This window comes from Homo sapiens, chromosome 2 (assembly GCF_000001405.40).
Source record: "Homo sapiens chromosome 2, GRCh38.p14 Primary Assembly".
NCBI classification, from domain to species: domain Eukaryota; kingdom Metazoa; phylum Chordata; class Mammalia; order Primates; family Hominidae; genus Homo; species Homo sapiens.
In genome coordinates, this window is record NC_000002.12 from 65,657,853 (window position 1) to 65,680,749 (window position 22,897).

Consider the following 22,897-nt stretch of genomic DNA (forward strand, 5'->3'; position numbering starts at 1 on the left):
ATCCTCACAATGACCCTCTGAAATAGGTACAATTCTCATCCACATTTCACAGGGGAAGAAACTGAGGCTCAGAAAGGTTGAATCGCTTGCCCACGATCACACAGCTGAGAGTAGTGGAGCCAGGCCTTGACCCAGGCAGCCTGTCCCCAGAAGCAGCAGGAACAGCATGCTCAGAGAGCAAGGCAGCCCCAGGGTCAGGCAGGGGCTGGAGGACCCCTTGGCTGCATCCTTTCTGATGTGGTAGGCAGCATTTCCCAGAGACTCAGTCCTCAAGGCCGGGAGGAAGGCCTCCCACACAGCCGAGGTGGAGCAAGGGCAGCCCTTCTGGGAGGGCATGCTGCTGTTCATAATATGAGAGTGGGGTCCTGTCAAGGGTTGTTGTTTTTCCCCCTCTGCCTCTTCCTCCCACTTCTGACAAGGTTTTCAATTAGCAGCTTGTAGAGGCCCAGCCTGTGGTCCCCATTTCAAGCTACATGCATAACTGAATTCCCCAGGAGGGGATTAAAGGGCAGAGGAAGGTGGGGGGTGGAGGCTGAGGCCCCTTGAATGGGAGGACTGAAATGTGCTGTGGGTATGGGCTGAAAGCAACACCTTGCCTTGTTTAAACTTGAGTGGGGCCAGGGGTCACCTGGGAGGTGACTCTCACAGGGATGAAAGGGGAGATGGCTGCGGCAGCAGGATATAGGGCCCCTGGGCCGGTGGTTGGGCCTCCCTGCCTCGTGTCTGGTTTCTGGTGGGATGGATACAGAAACTGGTGCAGGGAACTGCTCAAGCCTGTTGGTGCTTAGGAAGAAGGAACTTGCTCTCCATTTTGGGAGGTGAATGAAGCTCCCAGCTCCCTGATGGCTTTTCCCCATGGGAGGCCTTGGTCATCTTGAGCCTAGGTTGTGTGTTTAATGCCTGGGCTACTTTGAGCCAGTGCTCTCTCCTCTCTGTCCAGGGCAGGGAGGATACCACTGTTCTGCAGGCGTTTCTGATGGCTGCTTCCTCTTCACTGCCAGGCTAGGTCTACACTTCATCCGGTAGCCACACTGACTTTCTTTTTATCTTTTGAAAGCAGGATCATTGTTTTAAGGAGGGAAAAAGTCAAGATGTTCATGCTCCCCAACACACATGATATGCATTTGCCACCTCCAGCACGGAGCTTGTGATCCACCTGAAAATGAGGGCTTGTCCTGTGGAATGACAGCAATGTGCTGTGGTCCACACTGGAAGGAATGTCTTGTTTGAACTTTTATGGGGCCAGCAGTCATCTGAAAAATATGATGGCTCAAAGCCAAATGCTGTGTTCTATCATAGAGGGGTAAAGAGGATTTCTAAAAGAGGTTGCGAGTGGCCTTTAAATACCCAGTATGGGGTTGATGTCCCTTTCTTGTGATCCCCAGACACAGTTTGCTCTTGAGAGGACTGATGGCCTGGGATATGTTATTGATGGTCCTGAAAGGGATCTGCGTTTGAATAGGTCAGAGAAGATGTTCTGGAAGTCTGGAGACTGGGATACGCTCCCTTCCCTACAGGTTCGAGAGGGCTCTGAGGAGCAGTTATAGACATGTAATGAGGATCCAGGCTCCAGATCTGTTCTGTGGGAGAAAAAAGTGAGGAAAGTGAGTTTCTGGATAAATCATGGTGATCCTTGAATTTGAAGTTGTCCCCAAAGTTTATCCTCCTCATCAGAGCATATGATCATAGCTTCTGTTTTTTCTGTATTTTCCTTTTCTTCCCCTGCCTTGTTTCCCTCCCCACCTCACCACCCACCCCCTCTGCAGCCTCCCTGCCTCCCTCCCGCAAACACATTTTTTTTCCCAGCCAAGTGCTTGTTGAGGGCTGTGTGGGGGAACTAGCTCCCCACAAGACAGAGGAACATGTGAAAACAGGACCCTGATGAAGCTGGACTCAGGGCCACCCACTGCCAACATTTTCTAGGTGAACAAGAGTGAATTACAAATGCAGGCTGGAGGCCGGGCGCGGTGGCTCACGCCTGTAATCCCAGCACTTTGGGAGGCCGAGGCGGGCGGATCACGAGGTCAGGAGATCGAGACCATCCCGGCTAAAAACGGTGAAACCCCGTCTCTACTAAAAATACAAAAAAAATTAGCCGGGCGTAGTGGCGGGCGCCTGTGGTCCCAGCTACTTGGGAGGCTGAGGCAGGAGAATGGCGTGAACCCGGGAGGCGGAGCTTGCAGTGAGCCGAGATCCCGCCACTGCACTCCAGCCTGGGCGACAGAGCGAGACTCCGTCTCAAAAAAAAAAAAAGAAAAAGAAAAAGACAAATGCAGGCTGGACCTCGGTGCTCGGAGCCACACCAGCAAGAATTGCCTGTGTTGAGGACAGCGAGGGGGACACACACACACACACACACACACACAGAGAGAGAGAGAGAGAGAGAGAAACCTGCCTCCCAGGGAAGACTGTGAATCTCAATGGTGTTTCCCTGTACATGGTTTCAGCATTTAAAACATCCTGCAAATGAGGCTTTTCCTGATCTGCACGAGTGGGCTCTCCCCTCCTCCTGCATCTGACATCCCTGCCACCACCCACTGATTGGGTTGAATGATTTGATGGGGCATTCATCAGGAGGTTTGGGTGTCCCCGATGAGTAAATACACTTGCTGTTATGAGCCCCATACATAAAAGGGAAAGTATCACATTTTTCTCTGAATTCTTGAGGAAATTGCTCTCATATACAACACCAACCTTTGGCTGCGTGACAGAGATGGAGTGTTGTTTGCATGCCATTATCAGGCTGTAAAGTCTGGTCAGGGCTGCCTTTTCGGAGTTTCCAATCTTTTGGGATCCTGGGAGGGTCACCCTGCGGGTCAGGTTTGTTTAGTCTGGTCCGTAATGGTGTAAAGTGGCCTTGACTGTTGAGCCTCCCTAAATAATGCCCTATCTGTTTGATACTTCAACAGTCCCTCGGAGTTGTATATATGTTTCACTTTCTAATATTCGAAGCTGAATTGGATTTCATTGTTAATAGATGGGAAATTGTTTCTAAAAACAACCTCATCTTGCTTTGAAAGTTAGCCAGAGTTCAGAGGGCCCCTGCATTTTAACGGGTGATCTATGTTTTCTCTGGGAAAATCATAGAGCACTTCTGTGTTTTTGTATGCATGTTACTCACTCTGCAGCTTTTTAAAGGGATTCATCTGAACATATGCCACTTTAAAAAGCTTTTTATTAAAATATAATGTACATATAGATAAGACAGCACATATAATAAGCATACAGTGAATTTTAATGAACTCAATACATTGTAGCAACTGGCCCCAGATTAAGAAATAGAACATCATCAGCACCCCAAAAGCCCCCTCATGCCTCTCTATGGGAACATATACTATTTTAAATTTCTCTTATTTATAATTTATTCAAGGTTTTCTGTATTGCACCTTATTCTGTTTTTCTCAATGGTGTAACATTCCCTGAATCATCATATACAAATAAGGGAAAAGAACTTGTCTGATCTGCTGGGTCATAATAAACAGTACCTATCTAGAATCCTTCAATATGGCATTGTAATGTCCTATGGAGCTTTGTAAATTCATCAATATCTTGCCAAAATGGAGTTCATTTTTATAAGAATCCCTCTAGGTGCTCAAAGCTTGCTTCTTTATCTATTAGACACAAGAAAAGCCTGGTTTCACAGATGAGTCTAAATAGCATTGGTCTACCTAGCTCACATCCTAGTTTTGTGAAATACTATCTTTATTTAATTTAATTTATTTTATTTTTTTGAGACAAGGTCTCACTCTGTCACCCATGCTGGAGTAGAGCGGCACGATCTTGGCTCACTGCAGGCTCCACCTCCCGGGTTTAAGCAATTCTTCTGCCTCAGCCTCCTGAGTATCTGGGACTACAGGCGTGCACCACCACGCTCAGCTAATTTTTGTATTTTTAATGGATATGGGGTTTGGCCATGTTGGCCAGGCTGGTTTCAAATTCCTGACCTCAAGTGATCTGCCTGCCTTGGCCTCCCAAAGTGCTGGGATTACAGGCATGAGCCGCTGTGCCCAGCCCTTGTTTTGTGAAATACTATCAAACCCACTTTATGAATGTTAAGTAATTAAGTCCTTCGGGGTAGAGAAAATAGTGGTGGAAGAAAGTTATTCATTGCAAACATTTTTGCTCAGAGGCTTTTGGAAGTAAATAGGTTCTCCTCCCCAGTCCAGCTATATTTCAAAAGGAATCTTGTTCGAAGCCCTATAATTGGACTTCTCCCCTCCTTTTTAAAAGTAGTTCAATTTCTTTCTTCCCAAGCTCCTCAGCTCCCAGAGCAGCTTTCATTACGGCAACATAAATAAAAAGTGACATAAAATTATACAGCCCTGTGTAAAGTAGTTTAAGGAAAATGTCTTTTATGGCAGCTTTTATGGTTTCACCAATTAGTTATTAGATTTTCTCCATTTTTAATTCGCTGTCCTGCATGTGCGTTCTGAAAGGTTTCTTCCCCCTTTCATCTCTTAGTAGTAACAGGGCTGGGGGGCGTTGAGCCCCTGTTTAGCTGACTTTCTTGTTTCATGAAGGCTTTCATGACAGCCTGTTGCTAGATGTGGGCAGAGCAAGTCCCTTGGGAGAGAAGCCAGCATTGAGCCATTCTGTGAAGTGAGCAGAGTTTCACCCTCTTCCTGTATGAACACTCAGTGTCCTGTGTCCCGCTGAGGGTAGCGGCAGGCTGGCTGCAGGATCCCGTCACAGCAGGTGGACCTTAAGCTGATAAATCCTGAATTTTTAGTAACTTTCCAAACATTCCTGGGGAGTGAGAATAACAGAGATTTACTCCTGCCAAAATTTAATCATGCAGAAAAAGCAAAATTTAGAACAGCGTATAGATTATTTTTTAATGCGACTGCTTGACAGCGGAGAACAAGGAAGTTGAATACTTGGTGCAGCCGAGTCTAGACCGCTGCAATTTGATTCATTTAGGGGAATTGTATTAGGTTTTCATTTTGGCTTGGGCTGGGCTGTATCTGTTTGGAAGTGCATGATGTCATCGTATCAAGCGTGTCACAGCCAAGGCATTCTGGTATTTATGTTGACTTCAGATCTAGCCCAGAGTACATGGGAGGCTCAATTTATTGCTACTTTAACTTTGTTTAGTCATGGAGAGGCTTTATTTATGTTGGTAAATTTCAAACAGTGGCCAAAATTAACCGCACAATGAAAAGGCCTGCCAGATTCATCATCGATAAATCATCTTGTTGCTGAGTTTCTTTAATTAAGGAAAAACTCCGTCTGTGGATCCCTGTGGTTGCTGGAAGGAAAGGAGGGTGGGGAGTACTTTGATTAATCCATCTATCAGCCTGGCTTTGGAAAGTGAGTCTCCTGTTTTTGATTGTAGCTGGGCAAAGACCTAAATAAAAATTTATCTTGTCAAAACCTATGGGCTAACTGAAAGCAAATAAAGAAATTTTATGGCATCCACATAAAGTTAAATAAATAACGAGAAAGCGTAGTACGTCCTACAGACATTTTTCAGTACAGTACGTGGCTCTGTTCTTTGGGGAGAACTCATTAACTTAAAAAAAATTACCTTTAATGGGCCACTCGTTATCGTCATCATCAAATGCTTCGCTTGTCTAATGTTCCAGTGTTTAATGCCTGATTAAAACTGAAGATGGGGGCTCATGGCTTGGTGCTGTTGGAACTACCCAGGATAGAATGCATGGCAAGTGGGGCTTCTAAAGGGTAAAATATGGACGTTGCAAACAGCACTGCCAGTATCGGGGAGAACTTTTTAAATGGATCCCTCTGGAAGGTAACTGACCTTCCTGCAACATAATGTTGCAGGGGAGGGCAACAGGGTGAAGCTTTTCGTGTCTGAATGAACAAGGGACTTCATCTCTGGTTGAACTTATCTTTCATGTGGGGGCTTCTCTCTGCTGGAAAAAGTCTAGAAAAATATATTGGGATTGAAAACCTCTTTTCATCAAATGTGGTTTAAGCAGACTTCTCTCTGGGTTCGGTCTCATGGTGGAATGCATTTTATTTCTAGGTTAAAAAAAAGTCCTTGAATCAGACAAAAGACAACAGGTAGTGATGGAGAAGGCCCATTCTCATACTAGCACGTGCTTCACAGTATTTGCTTTTTCTTTGTAGGTTATGGAAAGGAGGCTCTCTTGATACCAAGCTTCAGGATCCACCCACAGGAAAAGGTGATTTCTCAAGTGTCGAGTCTTGGCGTACGATGCATTAGGCAATCAGCCCCTGCCTGTTTGATGGAGTTGTACAATAAACATGGGCTTGGGGGAATCAAGAACATTTCGAGAAGCATCTCTGGTGGAATCCTGATGCTGGAGGCCTCTACTTTGGGATGTGACATTTTTGGGTTGGCTGACTAAAGCTGTTCCTGGAGGTCAGCTGGTGGTTTTGCAAGTTCTTGGCTTTTTCCTGCATTCTGTCATTGTGCCTTGACTTTTTTAGTGGGGCGGGATTCCCCATGACTGAGGATGGTGGTTGTGGTGATGGTGTGAACAGTGAGACTGCCCTCTACCTCAGGTTAGGAGATGTGGGAATGAGACAGAGATGGAGGGGTATGTTCTGGCTTAATCAACTGGATCAGCTTCACTAAACTGGGTAGGTTTCAAGCATTCCTAGACACCAAAGCCTACTCCTTAAATCTGCAATGCAATGTTGGTGATTTTAGCCTTCTGGAAGACCTTTCCTTAGGTTAATGAGACAACAATTTGCTTAAATGTGGGACAATTTCAATATAGAAGTCATAATCTGGGCCATGGAATTTGGTCATAGGTTGATAGAAGATTTCTAGCCACTTCATAATAATAACTATATCTTATGCATTTTTTAATCTTCTTCATTAGTTCCAAGATATAGTTTAAGGCTCTCTTGGAGTCACCTTAGTTTGCCTTTAGTGCATCAGAAAGGACACTTTGATTTATCCCAGCATGGAGGTCAGAGGTTAACAACAGGACAACAAGCATATACTAAGCTCTTGCCATGGGTGTAGCAAGTGCGGTGCAGTGTGCAGACTCCATAGAATCCTGTCATGGCCTTTGCCCAGAAGAGGCTTCTGATTTTGCAGAGGTAGGATTTATATAACTGTTAGATTGAAAGTGAGGACTTCTGCAGATGCAGTTGTAAAATGTTGTCATCCTTTCCTTCTAAGCCTGGGCTGTGGGGTTAGCTCTCCATTCCCTGGGTCAGATCTAGAGAAAGTTCCATCACTTTTCTGGCTACTCCAGGATCTTTTGTTTGCAAAAATGTTTGTAATTCAATATTATCACAGTGGTTTTCAACCCAGGTGGCCCATCAGAATTGCCCGGGCAGCTCTTAAAAAATATTGATGCCTAGGCTACCGCCAAGACCAGTGAAATAAGAATCTTTGGTGATTGGAAAAAAAAATCTTTGAGGATGAAGCCCAGACATCAGTATTTTTAAAGCTTCCCAGGAATTCCAGATGGATAGACAGGGTTGAGAACCACAGAAATGGAATGTGCAATTCCAGATAAATCATGAAAAATTCCAATTCTATTTAAAATGAAAACCTCTCCTGTTCTCTTTCTCTTGCCTACAATTCTGAGTTAGGGAGAAAGACTTGGGAAGCCTTGACTTCTCACCTGACCTTACAAGTGTTTTCCTCCTAGCCAGCTTGCTCACCGATGTTGCCGACTGCTCTGAGGTTGGGGTGGGTAGGAAGGGAGGACAGGTAATGGCTGGGAGGGTCTCATGTGACTGGCATCAATGCCACCTGACATGGCTTCTTCTGGCTGTGGGAGAAGTTTGAAGTTGATTTGCTTTGGGGACAGAAGTAAAAATTTGTATATTCTTCGGAGATTGCCTTTCATCTCTGGGAGTCTCTTATCTGCAGTTTCTTTGGTTTTCCAGTAATCTGACTCACACAGAGAGACTCTGCTGTGTCCCAGTGGCCCCCAGGAGGCCATCTTAGACAAAGTCCCTTAAGAGGGTGCCAGGCTGGCTCTCCCTCAGTCATGCAGGCCCTCCTCTCCTCTCTCTGCTTTCAGCCCTGCTACCCACCCTTTCCCTTTAGGCTCATTCATCCAGCGTTCTGGCAGTACCCTCTGGTACCGCACAGACTTCAGGGGACCTTGAACAAGCTCCATTTTGTCTCCTGGAAGCTCATTCCACCAGGTTTGAGGTGAGGGGAAATACCACTTTGGCAGAAACACTAGTTGTCCCCCAATTTTTTTTTCCATTTTTTTTCCTACAGTGATAGAGTGAGTTTCATCTGCAAACGTGGCTTTTCAGAATAAAGACAACATTTCTCAGTTTCCCTTACAGCTACCCACCATGAGACTAAACCCATTGTCATGGTACTAAATTCTGATCAATGGCATATTGGGTACATGCAGTGTAGGCAACTTCCAGGAAATATCTTTAAAAGGAGGTGGCATGGCCTTCTTCTCAACCCGCTTTCCCACTGGATGGAAGGCAGTTGGCTGAGATCTTGGTCGCAGAAGTGGGAGCAGCATGTTGAGGAGGTTGGGCAGTAGGCAGGAAGCAGCCTGGGCCCCTGATGAGTCATACACACACTGACTACTGAAACTTGCATGTGTGAGAGAAATAAACTTCCATCTTGTAAAACCCACTATTTGTCACTGGTAAAGCCTGAGTTCTGTCCTCTCTCTCTCCTCCCTGGACAGTATGAGCTTCACCACTCGCTCCACCTTCTCCACCAACTACCAGTCCCTGGGCTCTGTCCAGGTGCCCAGCTAAGACGCTCGGCCAGTCAGCAGCATGACCAGTATCTCTGCAGGGGCTGGGGGCTCTGGTTCCCAGATCTCCATGTCCCCCTCCACCAGCTTCTGGGGTGGCATGGGGTCTGGGGCCCTGGCCGTGGGGATGGCCAGGGTTCTGGCAGGATGGAAGACATCCAGAACAAGAAGGAGACCATGCAAAGCCTGAATGACTGCCTGGCCTCCTACCTGGACAGAGTGAGGAGACTGGATACCAAGAATCGGAAGCTGGAGAGCAAAATCCGGGAGCACCTGGAGAAGAAGGGACCCCAAGTCAGAGACTGGAGCCATTACTTCAAGACCGTGGAGGACCTGAGGGCTCAGATCTTCGCAAATACTGTGGACAATGCCCGCATCGTTCTGCAAGTCGACAATGCCCATCTTGCTGATGACTTTAGAGTCAAGTATGTGACAGAGCTGGCCATGCGCCAGTCTATGGAGAGCGACATCCATGGGCTCCGCAAGGTCATTGATGACACCAATGTCACTCGGCTGCAGCTGGAAACAGAGATCGAGGCTCTCAAGGAGGAGCTGCTCTTCATGAAGAAGAACGAAGAAGGGGAAATAAAAGGCCTACAAGCCCAGATTGCCAGCTCTGGGTTGACTGTGGAGGTAGATATCCCCAAATCTCAGGACCTTGCCAAGCTCATGGCAGACATCTGGGCCCAATATGATGAGCTGGCTCGGAAGAGCCAAGAGGAGCTGGGCAAGTACTGGTCTCAGCAGATTGAGGAGAGTATCACAGTAGTCACCATGCAGTCCACCGAGGTTGGAGCTGCTGAGATGATGCTCATGGAGCTGCTTGGAGATCAACCTGGACTCCATGAGAAATCTGAAGGCTAGCTTGGAGAATGGCCTGAGGGAGGTGGAGGCCCGCTATGCCCTGCAGATGGAGCAGTTCAACAGGATCCTGCTGCACCTGGAGTCAGAGCTGGCACAGACCTGGGCAGAGGGACAGTGCCAGGCCCAGGAGTACGAGGCCCTGCTGAGCATCAGGGTCAAGCTGGAGGCTGAGATCGCCACCTACCACCACCTGCTGGAAGATGTGAGGACTTCAATCTTAGCGATGCCCTGGACAGCATCAACTCCACGCAAACTATGCAAAAGACCACCACCGGCCGGATAGTGGATGGCAAAGTGGGGTCTGAGACCAACAACACCAAAGTTCTGAGACATTAAGTCAGCAGAACCCGGGGACCCTTTGGGGAGGAGGAGGCCGATGAAAAGTTCAGAGGTTTAAAAAAAAAAAAAAAGCTGGGTGCAGTGGCTCACGCCTGTAATCCCAGCACTTTGGGAGGCCGAGGCTTGTGGATCACGAGGTCAGGAGATCAAGACCACCCTGGCTAGCAAGGTAAAACCCTGTCTCTACTAAAAATACAAAAAAATTAGCTGGGCGTGGCAGCATGTGCCTGTAGTCCCAGCTACTTGGGAGGCTGAGGCAGGAGAATCACTTGAACCAGGGAGGCAGAGGTTGCAGTGAGCCAGGATTGTACCACTGCACTCCAGCCTGGGCCACAGAGTGAGACTCCATCTAAAAAAAAAAAAAAAAAAAAACCCACAAACAAATCCACTGTTGTTATGGGTTGTCTGACACAACTGAACCTAATACTAAATAATTCAGAATTTTGTCTTGAAATGGAGTGCTGAGCATTAGCTTGGGAAGATGATAGGCTGCAGAAACATAGATGTTGCAGAGTAGGAAGAGGGTCACCCCCATTAGATGGTAGCAAAACAGTAGGTCGAATTGCATCTGCTATACCTCAAAAGGCAGACCACGTGTTAGTGAAAATAGTAGAAAAAGGCTAGAATGTTGGTGGTAGGGCAGCTTTTTGCTGCTTTTAGCAAAGTCCTACAGGAGAGAGTTGAATTCAGCTGAGAGCTAGTTAGTCCACAAGCAGATGTGGAAGGAAATGTCACTTTGCTAGGGGAGGCGCTCTGTGATGTAGCCTGCACTCTAATTTGACTGAGAGTCTAGCAATTTGGAGGTGTTTGAAGTATTAATTAAGCTAACTGTGTCTGTACCCCAACTTGAAGCAGCCCCAAGAGGTGGCTGCAAAATGGCAGCCTTGCTAACATGTAGTACTGTGGCCCCAAACCCTCTTCAAGCAATTTATTTTAAGAGTTCTCTGCCATCATGGGAATCAGCTTAGCTGGCTGCAAAAATCAAATCTTAGCAAACCTTTTGTTTCAGTTGCTACTATGTTGAGAGAGAGAGAGGTGTGGCCAAACACTGGCCAGTAAGTAAAAAGCCTGAGACTTTAGGCTTAAAAGCTGTGTCTAGATGACATTGTTGTCTGTGGTTTTTCACACATGGAAACAGATAAACTGGAAGCCTACTAAAATTTTGAGGGAATCATATTGGAAACAAAAAAGCCTGTGAGCAGCAATCTGTAGAGTAATGCCTGTGTTCCAGAAGCTGCATTAGCAGGAAGAGTGTGGGAAAGGAGATTGTGTGTGCCCTCCAAGGCCCTTTTCAGATGTGGTCAAGAGGATGATGGATAAAGGAGAGGGAAAACCAGGGCCAATGGACAAGGGAATTATTCTCAGAAAGGAGAGTGAGAAGCTGCCAGAGTGTCCAACCAAGGAAGCGACTTCACTATCAAGGACAGGAGCCTTTGCTATTCCTGCCCAGTGGGATATGATAATAGTTATGGGCCAGTGACTTCTGGGCATTTCCCCTTCTCCCCATTTCCAAATGGGAGTCTTTAGAAATTGTTATTATCTTGTTTCTTCTCTACCATTTTAATTTTAGGTATGTGATGGGAAGATAACTTACTATTAGCGTATAGATCACCTGACCACTAAGAGCTGCATCTGGGCCTGATGGAGAGGACTGGGCACCAGTCATACACTCTGGATTTAAGCTGAATGCAGTTACTGGTTGGGTCATTGCCTTCTTTTATGGAAAGGATGGGTATGTTCTATGTATTTCAAGATGGGTGCACATGGGTATTTTTAGGGTTAAAGAGGTAGATTGTGGGGCTAGGCACAGTGGCTCATATCTGTAATCTCAGAACTTTGGGAGGTCAAGGAGAGAGGATTGCTTGAGCCCAGGAGTTTGAGACCAGCTTGGGCAGCATAGTGAGATCCCCTCTCTACAAAAAACTAAAAAGTAGCCGAGCATAGTGATGTTAACCTGTAGTTCCAGCTACTTGGGAGTCTGAGGTGGGAGGATTGTTTGAGTCTGAGAGGTTGAGGCTGAAGTGAGCAATGATGATGCAACTGCACTCCACCCTGGGTGACAGAGCGAGACCTTATCTCAAGAAAAAAAAGAGGTGGATTATGGAAGAAACACCTAGTTTCCTCACTGTATCTTCCACAGTGATGTAGCCTTAGACTTTTGGCTGGGCATGTGGCTTTTCAGAATAAAGATTACATTTCCCAGTCCTCCTTGTAACTGGGGTTAGTTATGTTACTCAGTTCTGGCCAGTGGGCTGTAAAGACTGTGTGTGCAGTGTTCAGGAAGTATCCTTAAAAGGTCTTAGACCTTTCTCCTTTCAACTTTCTTACTGGTGGGAATGTGGATAGATTCACCATATCAGCCTTGAGCCATTACTTTAGATATTTACATGAGAGAGGAATACAGTTCTTTCTCTTAGAAGTCATTTGTTTTGTGTTTTCTTTCACTTGCAGTTGAATCCAATCCTGTGAGGGGACATTAAGACAGAAAGCACACTAATAGGAGAATGAAAACATCTATTTCCCAGGTTGCTCAATTTCAACATTTTATACCATTAAGGACAATGGTCACAAAACTGTTTCTCAGACCATTTTTTCCCCATTTTTTAGAAGTTTTATTTTGTTTTTAATTGACGCAATAATTGTGCTTATTTACGGAGCACAGTGTGATGTTTTGATACATGTATACATTGTGTAATGATCAAATCAGGATAATTACCATATCCATCACCTCAAACACATCATTTCTTTGTGGTGAGAACATTCAAAATTGTGAGACCTTTTCCTTGGGATTCTTGCATAGATGGTTTAACATTTTGCTTTGGAAAGTGAGGATAGCTGACACCTATTTTCCAGGTGCCCTAGAGGAGTTAGAAAGAGTTCCATTTTAACATCCTGTTATAATCATGTATATAAACTAATAGTTCCAGAATATGCACACTATAGTTAAATGACAGCATGTGTGTTATAGACTACAAATGCTCAAGGAATACAGAGAATGGATACATTATTGTAGGCTGGCCTAGTTAGAGAAGTTTCTGAGGTGTGACAGACTTGAAATGGAGGGAATGAAGGTCTGTGATAAAAGACAAGAGAGTGTGCCAGGTAGGTGTGTGTGTGTATGTGTGTGTGTGTGTGTAGGGGTGAGGCAGTTCAGACTGCACAGGTAAAAGCACTGAAGTAGGAATGTGCATAGTTCACATGGGGCCCTTTGTTTGGATCTTTATAGTTCTTGGTAAAACTTGATCTCTATCCACTTCCTTGATTTTTCTTCTCCTTTGTCTTTCAGGGTTGATTTATGACTGCAGGATGGTGTCTTGACCACCTACTGCCTTTATTGATGGAAAGTAACACCCCTCAAAGAACCTTCCATGTATTTATGGGTGTTTTTCAGGAATGGAAGACACCACTGTCTGCTTTTCCCAAATTCATTCCCCCATCCAACCCCAACACCAGTACATGTCCCCAAGTCCAGGTATTTTCCTGCTCACAGACCACAGTTTTGTTTGGGTATCAGGCAGCTGCATTGTTCAGGAAGCTTAGACCCCACTCACATAAAGAGAGAGCATCTTATTCCTGTAAGCCAAGCAAGGGAATCTTGTTTCCCTGTTGGTAGAGGAACTTGGCATGTAGTACAATTCTGGCTCATGAGTTGCAAGGAGGACTGGAGAAACAGGGTGCTTCTGGGAAAGTTATCTTTGCCAGGGATACAAGGAAGGGGTGTTCTGTCTTACGTGTTGTGTGAGCTTGTGATGCCTAAAATATCCACAGTCATCTGGCCACAGAAGGGACAGCCTGAGACAAAAGCCAACATGCCTGGGAGAGGAGAGCAGAAAGAAAGTCCCTGGGTCTTTAATGGTGTCATTGGATTGAGAACCACCCAACTCTGAAATTGCTTGACTTCCAGACTCTTTGTTACCTGAAAAAATAACCCCCTTTTATTGATTAAGCCATTTTAGCTTGGTTCATTTTTATTTGGTGGATATGCCAGAGTGTGGCTCCCTGTTCAGAAATAGCCTCAGTTCTTCTCCCATCAAGGGTGCTATTTGGCAGCTTCTGCTCCTCATACCACCTGAACAGAGGTCACCAGGGCTCCTCCTGCTGGGGAGACCTTTGCAACCACTATATTGACCTCAGGGGAAACAGACCCAGCTGTTACTGTTGACACTTCATTATAAGCATGGGATTAGTCTTTCCAGGAATTATCACTTGTAATTCCTGACAATGCAGCAGAGCCTGGGATGTAACTTTTAACAAGACTTCCCAGAAGGTTCGAGGTTGATGGAGGGGAAGTGCATATGCACAGTAGCTCACAGCTGAGGCATGCATGGCTCAGGCCATCTTCAGGGTGTCTTGGCAGCCTAGCTCCCAGTCTTACTACTGCTTTGTCTGGGGCAACTTAGCTAACTCCTCGCCCCCTGCTCCCTGTACCCTGCTTCTGCCCCCAGAGAGAGTAGAAAGATTTCCCTCACACTAGTCCTTGGGCTGTGCAAAGTGTGGTCCAAGGACTGGCAGCATCAGCATCACCTGGGAAGTTATGAGAAATGCAGAATCATAGGCCCTGCCCTAGACCCACTGAAACATAATCTGTATTTTAATAAGGCTTCTAGGCAATTTCTAAGAACATTAAAGTTTAAGAAGTTATCCTAGTCTAAGGCTTGCCTCTCACGCCTTCATTTCCTATTGCAGGTTTCAACTCTAGCTGGGATGACTGACTATGGGGACTTTTTTTTTTTTTTCAGGGGAAACTGCATCCTCATAGTGATTGTGGACTTTTGGGCTCAACAAGACACTCGTGCAACCCCAACACCAGTACATAGTCTCAAATCCAGGCTGGTCAGTTTTAAAAAATGGTCACTATGTGGCATCAAAAGCCCAGTCCAGGTGGGGGTTAAGCCTGTTCCTTTTTTTTTTCAGTTTTCTTAAATTATAAAAGTAACATTAAAATATTAACATTTAAGACAAAGGTGAATTTTATATAAGTTGATATTACCTTCTCTACATACATATATATTTAATTTTTACATATTTGATTTAATATTTAATGATTCAATTTTATATTCTACACTTTCATTCAATATTACACTGAGATAGGCTTCCATTCTGTTATTCATTTTTTCTTTCCCATAGCTTGTATTTGCTCATTCTTACATCCCTGAGATAATTAATGTTAAAAACTTGATTCACATTTTTGCATACCTTTCTCCATCCTCATGCAAATATATGCACACATGTATATGCCATTTTTTTGGGGTCAGTTTCTCTTTTCTTACAAAAGAAATTATATTAAGCATTTATATCAGGTTGGTTTTTTCCCCCTTAACCATTAAATGGTAGTCTCTCCAGGTCAGTAGGCACAGAGATAACTCCTAATAGCTGCATAATATTCCTTAGTATGGATGTATTATAACTGATGCAACCCTTTTCTCTTACTAATGAACATTCAGGTTGCTCTGGTCATATGTTTCCTTACACAAAGGGTCTTATATATTCCATACTTTTACCTCTAAAGACAGATGCCTGTAAGTAATATTGTTGGGTCAAAGGAAATAAGTTAGAGTAAGCTAACTGCTATAACAAATAGACCCTCGAATATATCATATTTCAAACATAATAAAAGTAAAATAGTCCACATTAGTTTCAGGTACTCAGAGGTCTCTGCTACACATAATCACTCCGGGTTCAGGCCACAGGGGCTTTGCCACCTTCAACAAGTGAATGTAGTGTCATACCTGAGCTAGGACTCAGTTGTCTGCTACAGAGGAATCTGGAAAATGTAGTGTAGGTGTGCCCAGAACAAAAGGAAACAATTTTTTGAATAGTTAGTTTCTGCTACAAAGGGTCAATGAATATTTAATTTAAATATATATTACCAAGTTGCTTTTACAAATGGTGGTAACAGTTTGCATTCCCACTAGCAATATATGAAAGAGTCCATAATCTGGAATTCTTGCTGGTGCTGGATGGTATCATTCTTTAAATCTTTCCAAATCTGATGGATGAATAATGGTATTGCTTTAATTTGCATTTTCTTGATTATTACTGGTTAAGTGTCTTTTCACAAGTTTAACAGTCATCTGGTTAATTTGTTTCTTTCCTACCTGTTCTATGTTCCCTTTTGTCTCCTTTCTTGCCTTCTTTTGAATTATTATTATTATTATTATTATTATTATTATTATTACTGTTATTTTTGAGACAGTCTCTGTTCTGTTGCCCAGGCTGGAGTGCAGTGGAACGATCTCAGCTCACTGAAACCTCCTCCCCTCAGGTTCAAGCAATTCTTGTGCCTCAGCCTCTCAAGTAGCTGGAATTACAGGCATGTACCACCCATGCCTTGCTAATTTTTGTATTTTTAGTAGAGACAGGGTTTTGCCATGTTGGCTAGGCTGGTCTCAAACTCCTGGCCTCAAGTGATCCACCCACCTCAGTCTCCCAAAGTGCTGGGATTACAGGCGTGAGCCACCATGCCCGGCCTGGATTATTTTTTATTATTCTACTTTTCCCCTCTCTTAGTTTGCTAATTTTACATTTTGTTTTTGTACTCTTTTAGAGGTTATCCTAGAATGTAAACATATCTCCTAGACTTATGAAAGTCTAATATACTGTTTCAGGTTGGATCTCCCAGGAGACAGACTTTGAGATGTAGTTATTGTTCAGAAAGTTTACTGGGGGAAATGTTCTTGGCTTAACACCAGTGGAAGGGAAGGAAAGGAAGCAGGTTTGTTAAAGAGAGAAGTTGGATTGTGCTGCAATTAGAATGAAAGACTGAAGCTCTCTCCAGGGAACCTTGGAAGTGGGGATGGCTTTTCAGCATTGTCTTGAGTTTGGGTGAGGGGCCAGGCTTTTATATCCACACATTGAGCAGTTATTGGATGTAGGCCGCCTTGGGAAGGGGGCTTGTCACTGGGCAAGGTGGCCCTTTTCAGCTGATGGCAACTCCTAAAGAGAGGTGACAGCTGAGGGAGTAAGTCCCTATGTCTTGAGGGGGAGGTCTGACTGGCAGAGGTTAGATTACACTACATGTAAAACAGTACTTTTACCTCCACCCAAGCAATTCAAGGACCTTAGAACACTTTAACTTCATTTGACTTCTGATTTTTATTACTATTGTCATTTATATTTATTCTGTGTATATTTTAACTGCCATGACATGATTATTACAGTTTTTACATTATATATTCATTTATGTTTACCCACATACCTTTTCTGTGGCTCTTAATTCTTTCTGCATTTCTAAGCTCCATTTGAGATCCTTTTCATCTTCTCCAAGAACCCTCTTTAGAATTTCCTTTGGTACAGATCTACTGGCAATACGTTATTTCAACGTTTCTTTGTCTTAAAACACCTTTATTTCACTCTTTCTTTAGGGATATTTTCACTGGTATAGACTTCCAGGCTGGCAATTATTTCCTTTCCTCTGAAAATGCCATTATATTGCCTTCATTCTTGAAGTTTATTTTCTCTGCATGTGGAATTCTTGGTTGATAGCTTTCTGTTCCAGCACTTTCAGTGTTTTACCGACGTCTCTGTCAGTTTCAAGTGAGAAGTTCGTGATATTTTGAATCATTGTTTAGCCGTGTGTTTTGTGTTCTTTTCTTTTGTTGTTATCAAGATTTTCTCTTTATCTTTGGTATTCAGCAGTTTGAGTCTGATGATATTAATCATTTTGTGTGTGTATGTCCTGCTCATGAATCATTGAGTTTCTTGAGTCTGTAAATTTATGTATTTCGCTAAACTTGGAAAATAATTGGAAATTATTTCTTTATTGTTTATGTCCTATTGTCTCCTTCTTCTTCTTCTGGGATCCAGTTATATGTATGTTGGACATTTTGATATCATCCCACAGGTATTCAAAGCTCATATTCTTAGCTAGAATCTGCCCCGTGGTTGTGTGCTTTGGGCGTTAGCCAGAGATTTGGGCAGTTTAAACACAGAAATTGTGGTCATTCTTTCTGACTGTATCCTTTCTGAGATTTCCCTCTCCCTTCCAGTGGCTGATTATCGTGAACTCTGTCTTCTGCTTTTTTCAAGCTGGTGAGGTAGAGATTTTCTGTTGAAGTTCTATCAGAACCACAGTGTGCAGCACTGACTTTGGCCTACACTCAGGCAAAATGCTGTAAAAATGGGCAACTCACCCTGTGCTGTTCCTTTTTTCCAAGTGTCTACTTTCTTTCACAATTTACCTGTCTTTGTTTACTTTCCAGTGTCATCAGGTTTTTATTTTTTCTAATTTTGTCCAGAGTTTACAGTTGTGATATGTGGGAAATCTGGGTATGGTAGCAGCTACTTTACCATATTGGAAGTGGAAGCCCAGTTGTTCTTTTTTTCAGCAGTTTGCAAGCATCATTCCATTGTCTCCTGGCTTTGTGAAGCATGTTCACTATGTACTTGTTTCAATCTCAAGGAAAGACTCTAAACACTGCACTAGTTTCAATTCACTTGCATGAGTCTGGTAACACAAGAAATTAAGTGAAGCAACTTTTTTACTCATAGATAGGCAGCAGAGGACAATAGAAGCCTAGGATTCATGATGAGCTTGTTCCCTAAGGCTCAGGAAAGCTGCCCAGGGAGGATGAAGTCTCCTATGCATTTATCCCACTTTTCACCACAGCTGAGGGTCCCTGAAAGTGTGTTCCACTTTGGGTTTTGTTTCAGAGGAAACTGGACTCACTGTGCTAAAGTGTTGTAGGAGATCTTATTCTAGGAGGGACTGGAACAGAGCCCAAGCTGTTTTGGCCAGTTCCTCCTTATCTCAAGCTATTGCATTCCCAGCACATTCTATAGTTATTCTTGAGAATTGTAAGTGAGAAAAGAAAGTAAGAATTGGGGGCCGGGCGCGGTGGCTCACGCCTGTAATCCCAGCACTTTGGGAGGCCGAGGCGGGCGGATCACGAGGTCAGGAGATCGAGACCATCCCGGCTAAAACGGTGAAACCCCGTCTCTACTAAAAATACAAAAAATTAGCCGGGCGTAGTGGCAGGCGCCTGTAGTCCCAGCTACTTGGGAGGCTGAGGCAGGAGAATGGCGTGAACCCGGGAGGCGGAGCTTGCAGTGAGCCGAGATCCCGCCACTGCACTCCAGCCTGGGCGACAGAGCGAGACTCCGTCTCAAAAAAAAAAAAAAAAAAAAAAAAAAAAAAAAAAAAGAATTGGTCACCAAGGTCATCTGGGGACATGTCCAGCAGGCTTCAGTTATTTCTGTTGGGAATTCAGCTGTCAGTCTTATTGTCACTCTATTAAAAGTAATGTGTCCTTCCACCCCTGTCCCATCTGCTTTTAGGATTTTCTCTTTTTCTTTGACCTTCAAAATTTTACTGTGTTTATCAAGATTTGGATTTCCCACAGCCTGGCTATTTTCTTCTGGCCTGTCTTCCAGACAACCATTATCTTTTTAGCTGCTGCTAAGCCCCACTCTTGAATTTTTAATTCCAATTGTATTTTTCTGTTCTAGCATTTATACTTGATCCTTTTAAAAAAGCTTACGTTTGAAATTTTCCGTTTCATCATACAATATCTTGAACAAATTAATCTCAGTTACTTTATAATATGTGAAACTCGAATGTCTTGATTTTGTGTTAGTCTGTTTCTATTGTCTGTTCTTTTCTGTTGGTTTTTGGTTATTTGGTCTCATCTCCTAGCATGCTTAGACATGCATGTAAGAGCTGTAGAGCTAATTTGAAGTTCTGTATGATGTTACATTTTTCCAGAGGACCTGTTTTGTGTCTGGCATGAAGTTAACCCAGGGACAGATCACCTTGATCAGACCTGGGATTGCGATGATTTGAAGGTAGGCTTCAGATTTTGTGAGGTCGGATTAATTTTTGTTCACCATTATGCCAGTGGGAGTCCCAACTGAAAGCATAATGTGGTTACCAGGGCACCTTCTCTTTGGTGATCTCGGAACTCCAATTTTTGCTTCCCTCCCCACCTGAGACTGTCAATGCTCTGTCTAGTCTTTCAGCTGCCACTTTCTGCTCAGGCTTTCAACTTTCAGCTATTGCTTTGAAACCTGTGAACAGCGAGAGGGCAAAAGCAGTGATGAATATTGGACTCAATTCTCTGCAGTTTTCTCTCCAGGAATGTGGCTCCTCAAGTCTTCCTTGGCTTGGTAGTTCTCTGAAGCCAATAAATACATTTTAAAAAGTATCTCGTCCAGGTGTTCTAGTTGTTTTCAGTGGGAAGGTAAGCCTTTAACAAGCACTGCCACCATTGCCAGAAGTGGAGATCATCAGTTTTTTTTTTTTTTTTAATCTCAAGGGGTTTAGTGTCATGGAGGGAAATTTTTTTTTTTCTCATGAGGGGTTTTACATGAGAAAAAAAATTTGTTAATTTTCAAAGCTTATTATGAGAACAAAAGAGAATCAAAAGGAGAAGACACAGGATGGTTGTTCCTTGGTATCCTTGGGGGATTGGTTCCAGGACCCCTGCAGATAACCAAAATCTGTGGACGCTCAACTCCCCTACATAAAATGGCATACTATTTGCATGTAGCCTACGTACAAACATCTTTCTGTTTACTTTAAATCATCTCTAGGTTATTTAGAATACCTAGTATAATGTAAATGATGTGTAAATAGTTGCTATACTATATTATTTTACAGTTTGTATTTTAAACAATTATTTTTCTTGAATATTTTTGAGCCTTGATTGGTTGAATGCACAGATGCAGAACTCATGAATATGGAGGGCTGACTGTATACCTTCAATGTCCACTAATAGCATCAACATTTTATTTTATGAAAATATACCTCTGCTTTATATTATTTTTCTGTCAACAAGGTATTGCTGTTTTTATAGCAATGTAAAATACTAAGCATGGGGGAAAGCTCTAGAATCTTACTATTGTATATAAAAGGTGACCAGTTCTCATGGCAGGGCTCCCGTGTGGGAAGAATAAAGCAGCCATCAGGCTAACAGCTTTCCTAGTACGGACTGCCATAACCGCACAGCCAGATCTGATCTGTCATAACAACTCAAGTCACAATGCATCTCCTACAATGGCTGAGTTGTTTAGAGGATTTTAGTTTGAGGTAGCAGAGGTTGTGTTCACGGCAGAGGAAAAGGTCTTATGTATTCCCAGCCCAAGTGGCCTAATTCCTTATCACCAGGCATGAGACTCAGTGATCATGGCAGAGCCACCACCTTCTCTGTGACACCCCATCACACTCTGTCTGCTCATCCTACCCATCCATAATCCCGGACTCCCCTGCTTTTGGCTGCATCTACCTATTTCCTCACCCTTTCATTCTCCCACCTGTTGCCTTTTGCTGCTAAATCCACATCTTCATCCCCTTAGTTCCACTGCACAGACCCATGCCTGTGTCAGGGAGAGAGAAGGGAGCAGGTTCTCAAGAAAAACATAGTGAGTAACAATGAGGTACACAGAGCGCCTGTGCCTGTGATGTCTTCATTAGAAAGAACATAGGGGAAGACCTGAGGGCATAACAAATCTTGGGCTTCCTCACTCCAGCCTGCAACTGACACGACAGTGATCTTGTCGATTGCATCAGCAGCCTTTAGTAAAAGTATAAAAATGTTCTCACCAGCAGATTAATAGCTTCTTCAGCTTCTCTATCCCTCCTCCTGTTTAGAGGTTAGCTGTGAAAAGTTAAGAACCCTTTAGCAGGCTTTTTGGAAAATCCAGACTCTGGGACACTCACAGAACTGTTTGGTTTCTTTAACAAATAAATTGCAAGGGAAAATATTGAGGAAGATCTATAGATGGAAAAAAGACAGAAAAGAAATAAATCAGTTGAAATGTATAGGCATTTGGATTCTTATTAAAACAAATACATGGTTAAAGTAGTATGACATTTATTAGACAAATTAGAAATTTAAACATTAGCTGGACATTTGATATTAAAGAATTGTTATTAAGCTTTTAAGTGTGAGAGTGATATATGGTTATATCTTACAAATGTGAATTCTTTTAGAGACACATAGAAAATATTGATGGGTGAAATGAAATAATTTTGGGGATGGGCTTTGAAATAATAGGATTGGGGAAAGTGGGTGGGGATCTAGATGAAAGAAAAGTGTCCATGAATTGATAGTTGTAGAATCTGAATAAAGAGAACATAGGGGTTTATTATGCTATTTTGTCTACTTTTGCATATCTTTGAAGTTTTTCATAATAAAAAAAATCTCTGTATTTCTGGACAACTTCGTAGAAAGAATCCCAAACAACTAATAATACAGTTCAAAACCCTGTGCATCCCATTTGCATAATAGTCCCCAAATGAGGTCCCTAGCATAAAGAAGCTTCCAGGTCTAAAGAACATAGCACATATTATGGGGTGGATCTTCAATTTTGCAGAAAATGTGTGTTGGCCTGGAGCCTATTCTCTTTTAGGTTTAGTGCTTGCAAGAGATCATCCAGATTATTCTATTTGTGTGTGTATGTAGTTGGGGAGGGGGTGCCTAATAGCCACTTTAGTGCCTTTGAAATGGGGTTTCACCACTTGCTACAATATTATCCCCCTTCTTTATAGAACAGTCCTGGTCCTGAATATTCCAGACAGAGCATGAGTGGATGAAATGGAGTTTCATGGGATTTCTCTTCACATAGATAATATTAGCTGAATCCATACTCGGTCTCAGGTATTAAACTTAGTATTTTACATGCAGTATTTCCTGAAATGTTCACAATTACTCTATAGAGAGGTGTATTCATTACACTATTTTTTTTTGAGACAAGAAAATGGAAGCTTGGAGAGTTGACATAACTTTTCCAAGGTCACAAAAATTGAAATTAAGATACAGAACCAGCTGGGGCTTAAAATCTAGGTTGCTTGACCCCTAAGGCTGAACTCTGCCATGAATTTTATGGTACCTCAGTTTATTTCAGATTAAATTAACTGTAGATCCTGGGAAACATATATTTGAGCAAAGATTAAAAAAAAGGTTAAAATAAAAACAAAAGCCAAATGCCAAAGCTCTGAAGACTTCAGGTTTGCTAGAATTTAAAGGTATCTTATGGGGCTGGGCCAAATGAAGTGGTTGCCATTCTGG

General features: G+C 43.3%; 1 long non-coding RNA gene and 1 pseudogene across 1 annotated transcript, besides 4 other annotated features; both read left to right on the plus strand.

The window, feature by feature from the left end:
• Nucleotides 215-715: an enhancer, noted in NCBI's record as "H3K4me1 hESC enhancer chr2:65885201-65885701 (GRCh37/hg19 assembly coordinates)". NCBI's record gives its function as "activates a minimal SCP1, AML or CMV promoter by ChIP-STARR-seq in naive H9 embryonic stem cells {active_cell/tissue: H9 hESC(naive)}" and the evidence as "EXISTENCE:reporter gene assay evidence [ECO:0000049][PMID:30033119]".
• Nucleotides 4,578-5,777: an enhancer, noted in NCBI's record as "P300/CBP strongly-dependent group 1 enhancer chr2:65889564-65890763 (GRCh37/hg19 assembly coordinates)". NCBI's record gives its function as "activates an origin of replication core promoter dependent on BRD2, BRD4, P300/CBP, MED14 and CDK7 cofactors, with strong dependence on P300/CBP, by STARR-seq in HCT116 cells {active_cell/tissue: HCT116}" and the evidence as "EXISTENCE:reporter gene assay evidence [ECO:0000049][PMID:35650434]".
• Nucleotides 8,576-9,942, plus strand: KRT18P33 (keratin 18 pseudogene 33; annotated as a pseudogene).
• Nucleotides 8,616-8,665: an enhancer, noted in NCBI's record as "active region_15938". NCBI's record gives its function as "activates an Ori minimal core promoter by ATAC-STARR-seq in GM12878 lymphoblastoid cells {active_cell/tissue: GM12878}" and the evidence as "EXISTENCE:reporter gene assay evidence [ECO:0000049][PMID:35858748]".
• Nucleotides 8,756-8,805: an enhancer, noted in NCBI's record as "active region_15939". NCBI's record gives its function as "activates an Ori minimal core promoter by ATAC-STARR-seq in GM12878 lymphoblastoid cells {active_cell/tissue: GM12878}" and the evidence as "EXISTENCE:reporter gene assay evidence [ECO:0000049][PMID:35858748]".
• Nucleotides 12,690-22,553, plus strand: LOC107985889 (uncharacterized). Its single transcript, XR_001739513.1, has 3 exons — nt 12,690-13,362; nt 14,630-14,771; nt 22,378-22,553. It is a non-coding gene; the product is annotated as an uncharacterized LOC107985889 (long non-coding RNA).
• The last annotated feature ends 344 nt before the right edge of the window (nt 22,554-22,897 follow it).